This window comes from Homo sapiens, chromosome 21 (genome assembly GCF_000001405.40).
Source record: "Homo sapiens chromosome 21, GRCh38.p14 Primary Assembly".
Taxonomy (NCBI): Eukaryota; Metazoa; Chordata; class Mammalia; order Primates; family Hominidae; genus Homo; species Homo sapiens.
In genome coordinates this window covers 14,653,240-14,662,335 of record NC_000021.9, presented here as the reverse complement: position 1 = coordinate 14,662,335, position 9,096 = coordinate 14,653,240, and the positions used below count along the sequence as shown (strand labels likewise).

At 33.0% G+C, this 9,096-nt stretch overlaps 1 protein-coding gene across 3 annotated transcripts in view; it reads left to right on the top strand.

The window, feature by feature from the left end:
* Positions 1–2,918: 2,918 nt before the first annotated feature.
* Positions 2,919–9,096, top strand: part of SAMSN1 (SAM domain, SH3 domain and nuclear localization signals 1) — a 174,190-nt gene continuing 168,012 nt past the window's right edge. For 2 of the 3 annotated variants that reach the window (NM_001395857.1, NM_001256579.3), the window contains exon 1: positions 3,490–3,588. In NM_001395857.1, the coding sequence (NP_001382786.1) occupies positions 3,565–3,588 (24 nt within the window). In that variant the 5' untranslated portion in view covers positions 3,490–3,564. Of the gene's footprint in view, positions 2,987–3,104; positions 3,327–3,443; positions 3,589–9,096 lie in introns of those variants that run through there. The other variant, NM_001395858.1, reaches the window with a different exon arrangement.

The following is a 9,096-nucleotide window of genomic DNA, read 5'->3' as shown; positions in this document are numbered from 1 at the left end:
TGGAAAGGATGCCAAACAGGAAGGGCTGCTTGACATTGGTGCATGTGATGTCTGTTTCCAGTGTTCGAAAGCAACTGTGTGAGGATTTAACGCTATGAACTTCTGCAGCCATCTTCAAATCATGAAAGGAAGGGCAAGGGAACTATAGACAGTACTCATGACTGATCTTGCTGACCCTCTCCTTCAGTGACAATTGTCAATCCATAGACCTGTTCTTATACGTGAACAATAATCCTTCTTGATTAAACACTCTCAGTCATGTAGTCTATTACCTGCAACTGAAAGCATTCTTAACTGATAACACTTTAAAGCAGAAGGTACCAATGTAAATCTCCAGGTGTTGCTAATTAAGATCAAGGGGCTATAGATACCTTCCTTTAGAATATCTTATTTCTAATAAGGTTATTGGAAATAAATGTTACTTAACAAAATTAAGTCCAGGACCAGGTGATGAAGAAATTTATTTGCAAGATCTAAATTTAACTTTATTTATTCATCTGTTGATGGGCACTTAAGTTGATTCCATATCTTGGCAACTGGGAATAATGCTGCAATGAACATGGAGGTACAAATATCTCTCTAACATACAGACTTCATTTCCTTTAGATATATAGCCAGTAGTGGGATTGCTGGAAAATGTGGTATTATACACAGTGAAATACTATTGTTTTTAAAATGAAGGAAATCCTGTTATTTGTGACAACATCGATGAGTTTGGAGGATATTACGTTAAGTGAAATAAGCGAGAAACAGAGAGATAAACACTGCATGTTCCCACTAATGCGGAATCTAAAAAAGTCGAATTCATAGACGCAAAGAGCAGAATGATGATTACAAGGCTCTGGGGGATTCGAGGAGTAATTGGAGGAGACGATGGTCAAAAGATACACAATTTTAGTTAGGAAGAATAAGTTCAGGAGGTCTATTGTACAACATGGCGCTGTTAGTTAATTACAATATATTGTACATGTGAAAACTGCTAAGAGAGTAGATTTTAAGTGTTCTTACCACAAATAAATATGTAAGGTGATGCATATATTAGTTTAATTTAACCATTTCACATACATATTTCAAAACATCATGTTGTATTTCATAAATATATACAATTTTCATTTGTTAATTAAAAAATGAAAAATAATAAAAAATTTAAAAATAAATTTAACTTTCAGAACTATTAGTGCATTTAAAAGACAATTAGATTTCAAGCATATCAAGAAATAAAAGACCTAAATGAATACCAAAAAAATCACTTAGTTTTAGCTGATGTTTTCAAATAGCTAGGTTTAACAGGCCATTGTACAGATGAGTTTACTGAAGACGCAGAAGCTAAGTATCATCCTCAAGTTTACACAAGATGATATAGTTAATATAAAAAGCATAAAATTTGGAACTAGATATCCCTGGACTAGATTCCAGAATTTACCATTTTCTAGTTTTGACCTTGGCAAGTTACTTATTCTTCTGAGCCTCAATTTTCTTATCAAAAAACAAAACAAAACAAAAAAAAGAACATTTTTAAGGTTGTTTTTTTTTTTGGAGTGAGACAATATGCAAAAGTCATTAATTTCAAAACTTAGTTCGAAGCGCACAGTAATTAAAACAGTGTGATACTGGCATAGAAACAGACATGTAGACCAATGCAATAGAATGGAGAGCCCAGAAATAAACCTTCATTTATGTGGTCAAATGTCAGCAAATCTGTCAAGACCATTCAATGGGGAAAGTACAGCCTTTCAACAAATGGTGTTGGACAAATGGAATATACACATGCAAAACAATAAAGTTGGACCCTTACATTACAGCATATACAAAAAGTAATTCAAAATTGACAAAGTCCCAAAGAGATAAAAGTATAAGTTATTAGAAGAAAACATTGGGAAAAATCATCCTGACATTGGATTTGGCAATGATTTATTTGACACCAAAAGCACAGGTAACAAAAACAAAAGTAGATAATTTAGAGTTTATCAAATTAAAAAGAAAAAAATACTTCTGTGCATCAAAGGACACTATTAGCAGAGTAAAAAAGTAGCTCATTGAATGGGAGAAATTATTTGCAAATCACATATCTGAGAAGAGATATCCAGAATATGTAAGGAACACCTACAATTCAACAATAACAAAACCAAAAACTAAAGGAAACAAATTTTTTTTTTTTTGAGATGGAGTCTCGTTCTGGCACCCAGGCTGGAACCAAATTTTAAAAATGAGCAAAGGGCTGGTATAAACATTAATCCGAAGAAAGTACACAAATGGCTAATAAACAAATAAAAAGATGCCCATCATCACTAATCACTAGGCAAATGCAAATCAAAACCATGAGATACCATTTCACATTCAGGGTAGCCACTATTAAAAAAAAAAACATGAACAAACAAAAAACAGAAAATAACAAGGGCCAGCAAGGGTGCAAAGAAATTGGAACCTTTGTGTACTGTAGGTGAGAATGTAAATGACGCAGTCAGTGAGAAAAACAATATGGTGTTTCCTCTTTAACATGGAATTAACAAAAAATCAAACAATCCCCTTCTGGATATATACCCAAAAGAATTGAAAGCAGGGACTCAAACAGATATATGTACATCTATGTTCATAGCAGTCTTATTCACAATAGTCAAAAGGTAGAACTAATCCAAGTGTTTATCAACAAACAAGTGGATAAGCAAAATGTGATATATACACAAAAAGGAATATTATTTAGTCTTAAAAATGAAGGAAACTGTGGCACATGCTATTGCATGGATGCACCTTGAAGAGATTATGCTAAGTGAGGTAAGTCAGCCACCAGATGGCAAATATTGATTCCACTTACAGAAAGCATGTAGAGTAGTCAAATTTAGAGAGACAGAAAGTAGAAAGGCTGTTTCCAGGGGCTGAGGGGCAGGGGAAATGGGGAGTTAGTGTTTAATGGGTATGGGGTTTGAGTTAGGAAAGATGAAATGGTTCTGGAGATTCATGGTGGTGACAGTTGCCCAACAATGTAGAGGTACTTAATGTTACTGAACTGTTTACTTAAAAATGGTTAAAGTGGTACATTTTAGATTTATGCACTTTGCATATCTTGCCATTTAAAAATGTGTTTATCTCTATATCTTGTCATGTAGCGAATCAAACGTTTTGTTAATTGTTGAAAGAGAAAATAGGAATGGGAGATGGGAAGAAATATGAGATGGACCCTTGACCTACCACTTTTAAGAGGAAGATGTTACTTTTAACCTGAAGAATAATATTTTCTCCAGGTTTGCCTGTAGTTGTTTCCAATGCATTTTCACTGCAGGTTTTAGGACTATCATTGCCACCTTTGAAATCTGTTTACACAGATCGTGGTAAGTCTCATTCTCTCATGTTATGCATCAGCGTTCTTCATTAATTTAGGAAATTGTTTGTTCAACAAAAGCCTATATTATTTGATAATGGTCTCTGAATCCCCTGGATTATGGCAGGGATTTTACTTTGTAATAATCTCCCATGAGAACTGGCCAAACAGCTGTGAAGGCAAGAGAGAGCTACAAGAGGCAATCATATTTTTCAAAGCAGGGCAACAAGAGAGTGAAGCTGGTCAAAATGAATCTTTTCTGCATTTCGCTGGTAAGTTCCTTTATTTGCAGCATTTATGTTCTCATTTTAATTTTACTGTGTCAAAAGGAATGAAATTAGGATATATTCTAAACTTCTTATGTGATGATATTCATACACTTAGCATCTCAGAAAGTTCACATCACAAAGAACAGTGAGAAAGGATGCTTTCATTAAAGCACTTAAGCCAACTCTACTCAAAGACAAGTATTAAAAAGAGTTCTGCAACAATTACTATTATTTATCATTTTGATGTTGAATTTTTAAGTATAATGTTCTGGGAACAGTATTTTTGAGAAATAATTTTCTTCTATTTGTTATGAGACAAAATTTTGCAAAATATGCAGGCTTTGTGTTGCTTGCTTTGCTTTGAGACATCCCAGGAATCAAAATTTCTTCTTTGTTCCTTGAGTAATGAATTCCTTTCAATGCTGGCTTGGTTAAACTTCCATGGAGGTAGTTTTCTGAGTTGCACCACACTGTAAATGCAAGGTACAATAGATTAATCCAGTCCTGGAGATGTGCTTACTCAAGGGTATAAGCACCTCTCAAATTCGTTTTCACATTATTACTTTTTTTTCCTTAGCCTGAAGTGGATCAGTGAAAGTTATCAGGTAGTCATGGATCTGAAAATACTTTATAACTCTAACCTGCAATTGTGACCATCTGCCAATGCTTAAAAATGGATTTCAAAAATAATTTTATTCATTTCTGTGTTTACAGCAGGGCATTATGTCTATTCATTGGTTTTTCAAGATGTCGATGGGAGATCCCTCTCATTTGGGAAAGTAAGATGGCCTAGTTCTGATGTTTGTTTTCTTTCCTAATTGCACATAAGATTAACATAAGCAGTAGAGATGGTGCTGACATACGTTGTAATACCTAAACAGGAGGCATTTTAAGCCAAGATAAGGGGTTTAATCTTAGAGCATCTTGAAAAATAAAATGCAATTATGAGTTGTGGGAGGCTGAATCATCGAGTTCTTGTTGCCCATATAGTCCAATTTACAAAATAACTGCCAGCTCTCAACTTTGCTTTGTGCCGTATAAATCTGATGGCAGAAATCCCATTTCAGGTGATTTAAGTGGTATTGTGCATACTTTTCTAGTTGATCTAAAAGAGCTATATGTGGTTTATATGAATATACTTCCCATGGAAATAGGCAGTGTGGCACCAAAGACGATTGCTTTCTGAAATCATTTTGAATGGTAATATAATCAGTATGCTAATGTTTCTATAACATAGCATGGTTCAGCGTGGCGTGACATACGTTTGTAATGCTGCTGCTGAAGACATATAACCATATAATGAGCTTGATTGTCTTCCTCTGTGATATAGGGAAGGGAGCACTTACTTAAAAAGGATTGCCTCGAAGTCCTGACTCATGGACTCAATATGACTGTAACTCTTTTCTGTCTGTTAAAGTTGTCCTTAAGAAGTTACTTGTTCAGAAACATATTTCATTAGACGGAACCATCAAGAACCCTAGTCTTTTGTTGAATCATTGCAAAGTTTATGTTATCAAATTCAGTTGCTTTAATAAGAAAATGTGTATGAGGTACTTAAAAAATAAACATTATCTTAGGTGTTTTTTATTCCTTCTTGTGGAATAAATACATAACATAATTTAGTGTAGGTTCTCAACCACAGTGTTGTGACACCCTACTGTGCTGTTATAACCTTTGAAAAAGGGGTGGGGGTACAGCTTTTGCCAGGAACTTATGCAAAATCCAAAACATGTTTTATCCATGGCTGTAGGAATGTGAACATATGGGACACTGCATTTAAGAAAAGAGAATAAAAACCACTGGTTTAATGGAAAGATTCTTGAATTAAAAAAAATGAAGGTATATGTAAAAACACTGACCTTTAAATCTCTGGGAAGCAGGTGATTTTAAATATTATGTGTCACATAAAGATCACTGCTAAAGAAAGAATGAAAGAGTTAAACATCTTTTATTTAAGTGTAGGGGAAAATTGTAAATCTTTTAGTAAATGGGGTTTTTAAGAGAAACATAAAGGCAGAAACTTAATGAACTACCCATTCTGAACCAAGGATACTATAAATAATCCATTAAAGGTGATTGCTATTATTTTGGATCTATAAACTTGAAATGGGGTCTATCTTTCATAAGGGAGGCAGAAATATCCTTTTATACATGCCACTCTGACTCCACAATTTTTCTTAGAGTTTTACGTCATGATGAGGCTTTTAGAAAACTTGCTCATTTGAGGCACAGTGATTTTTCTTGTTGAGCTCATCATATAGTTATTGCATTTAACATGTCTTTGTAACCCATGAGGTTACAAATCAATTACTCCTGCACAATTTCTTCAATAATTTGAAATGCTGCCTCTGTCTTTATTTGGATTCTTTATTCTTTCCCATTGGTTCATTTCTATCCCTTTCATTTTACTTGTTCTTTTAAGCACTTATTAAAATATTAATAATTCTGCTGCCAAGTGAGTCTTATTCAGAAGAATACCCTGCTCCCCATTTGTCCTTCTTGAAAGTTTGGACTTCGTCTTTTTTCTATATAAACTTAGGTTCATATTGTCAAATTATATGAATACCTTTGATGGGATTTTGACTGAAATGAACTTGAATTTTACACCATTTTTAGGGGAAATTGACTTCATTATGGTGCTAGGTCTTTTCATCCACAAACATAGATAACTCTTTATTCAATTCTTTCATAGCCTTCAATAATATTTTGTAATTTTCTCTATGATATCTTGCTTACCTTTTGATAATTTTATTGTTAGGCATCCAAGAATTTTGGATGCCATTGTGAATTTTTCTCCAAGTTTGTTGATGCTGATTTAGAGACACATTATTAGTATATTGATATCCAAATAAATAATTTTGCTGATCTTGAAGAATTCTGAGAGATACTCTGTGGTTTTCTCAGATTTTCTGTACAAATAATCTATAAAGTATTCCTTTCCTTAGCATTTATGTTATTCTCAACTTCTTTAGCTTCCATAATATTGACAAGTAGGAATGCTATGATATCAGCCATCCTACTCTTATTTCTAATGCTCATATAATTATTTATAATTCAGTCTTCATGAGGAAATTTTTTTTAAATAACTCTACTCAGGTTAAGGAAGTCCTGCCTTTTCCCAATTTGCTAAGATTTTGACGTGGGTAAACTTTAAAATTTTTCAAATGCCTTAAATATTTATTGAGATTAACTTCCTTTTAAATATTTTAATCTGTATCAAAATATTGAAGCATTCTTACATTTCTATATTAAACACTAATTGGTCTTAATGTAGTTTTATAGGTACTATTTGATTTTGTTGATATTTTATTTAGGATTTTAAAAACTATGTTAATACCTAAAATTGATCTGTTGTTTTCTTGCATTAATAGGAATATTCCATCATTTTCTTTTTCTAGAGTTTCTATTAGTAGTATTTTGTCATCTTTTAATATATCTTCTAACCTTTTACCTGTGTGTATCATGTTTTCTATTTATCCTTCTATGCTGCACCCTAAGTGAACTCAGCATTTTCTAATTCTCTCTTATGAAAGGTCTAGAGTTTAATTTTTGATTATTTAATATAAATTTCTGTGATTATTCATTTTCAAGACTTTGTAATTGTTCTTTGTTCCTATTTAATGATTTTTGTTTCATTTCTGTTTTGGTTTCATCATAAATTATTTCTTTAATATTACATTTTTATTTAGCTCTTTGGAGATTATATATATTCTTTCTTAAATTATCTCTCCATCTGTTTTATGATTTTAATTTCATCTGGAATTAAATGGTTTAATTTTCTGATTGTCAATTCAGTTGGCTCTCTTCCTCAGCATTTGATCTCTTCATGTGCTTTGGCTAATTTAGAATGACAACTCTTTTTCTTCTTCTCTCTCTCTTTCTCTCTTTCTTTCTTTCTTTCCTGGCTTCTTCGCCTTGCTTTATCTACTAGTGAGGCAAAAAATCTCATGTCTTCCTGATGCCCCAATTAAAAACCAGGGCTTACATTGGTGGTCCAGAGATCTTATTCCAAGCAGATATATGAACTATTACTAATCTAGACACTGAACTATTGGTAGCTTGTTTCATATTCTGTTTTGCTGGCCGTGTTGTTAAATTTTGCTTCTCTGGCCCATATCTTCTTGTAAGCAAGAGCCCTAGCAGCTGTTGGCAGAAGCTTTTTTCAGCCCTCTTTTATAGCAGTGGTTGCTACCATAGGCCCTGTATTTCCATCATGGAGTTTGCCTCATGTAGAGGACATCGATTGCATGCTACCCCTCAGGGTTTAAGATCTGTCCAATGCTGTCTGTTTTGGGATGGGAGCTTAATATGTCTAAAACTTTAGTTTCACTCACTACTTTGTATTTCTGTTAGGTTTCCCTACATGTTTACGTATTTTAGAGCACTCATGACTTACTTAGTTCTTAATAATTTTCCCAGTAGTTTGTAATGTGTTTGGAACAGGGGTTACTTAAAAGCGGAAACAGCAAATCATATTGGCCAAATGTTCTAAAGGTAGACAAGGCATCCAATCTTCACTTTACTTATATGTTAATATACCTAGAACTTTTCAATATGCTAAGTGTATACTGTCTACCTCTCTCTTTTAAGACTGCTTCTAGATGATGTCATAACTAGACTAATTATATCTTTTTAAAAAAGTCAATTTGATTAATAAATTTGCTTCCCAAATACAAAGAAGTTATAATACATTACACAATGATTTTAAATCCAAACTCATGCATTTTAAATTCATTTTTTCATACAAGGATAAAAATGAATAAATAATATTTTTATTATTAATGTTCTAAACATTAATATTAATTTCTTGACTGTACTTGTAAAATATTTTTGCTATTTCAAAGCATGCCTTGAATTTATTTTATCCTCATAGCTTCCTGCTGTGTGTGTGTGTGTGTGTTGCAATGTGTATCATTTGCCCTTGATGCTTTTTCATTCTTTCAAATTTTTAAAATTTTTGTAGGTACATAGTAGGTATATATATTTATGGAGTACATGAGATGATTTGATACAGACATGCAATGTGAAATAAGCACATCATGGAGAATGGGGTATCCATTCCCGCAAGCATTTATCCTTTGAGTTAAAAACATTCCACTTACACCCTTTAAATTATTTTAAAATGTACGATTAAGTTATTATTGACAATAGTCACCCTATTGTGCTATCAAATAGTAGCTCATATTCATTCTTTCTATTGCTTTGTACCCATTAACCATCCCCAGCTTCCTCCCAGAATGCCATTACTCTTCCTAGCCTCTGGTAACCATCCTTCTAATCTCAATGTACACAAGTTCAATTGTTTTGATTTTTAGATTCCACAGATAAGTGAGAACATGCGATGTTTGTCTTTCAGTGACTGAATTATTTCACTTACCATAATCATCTCCAGTTCTAATTATGTTGTTGCAAATGACTGGATTTCATTCTTTTTTGATGATTGAACCATACTCCATTGTGTATATGTACCATATTTTCTTTATCCATTCATCTGTTGATAGACACTTAGGT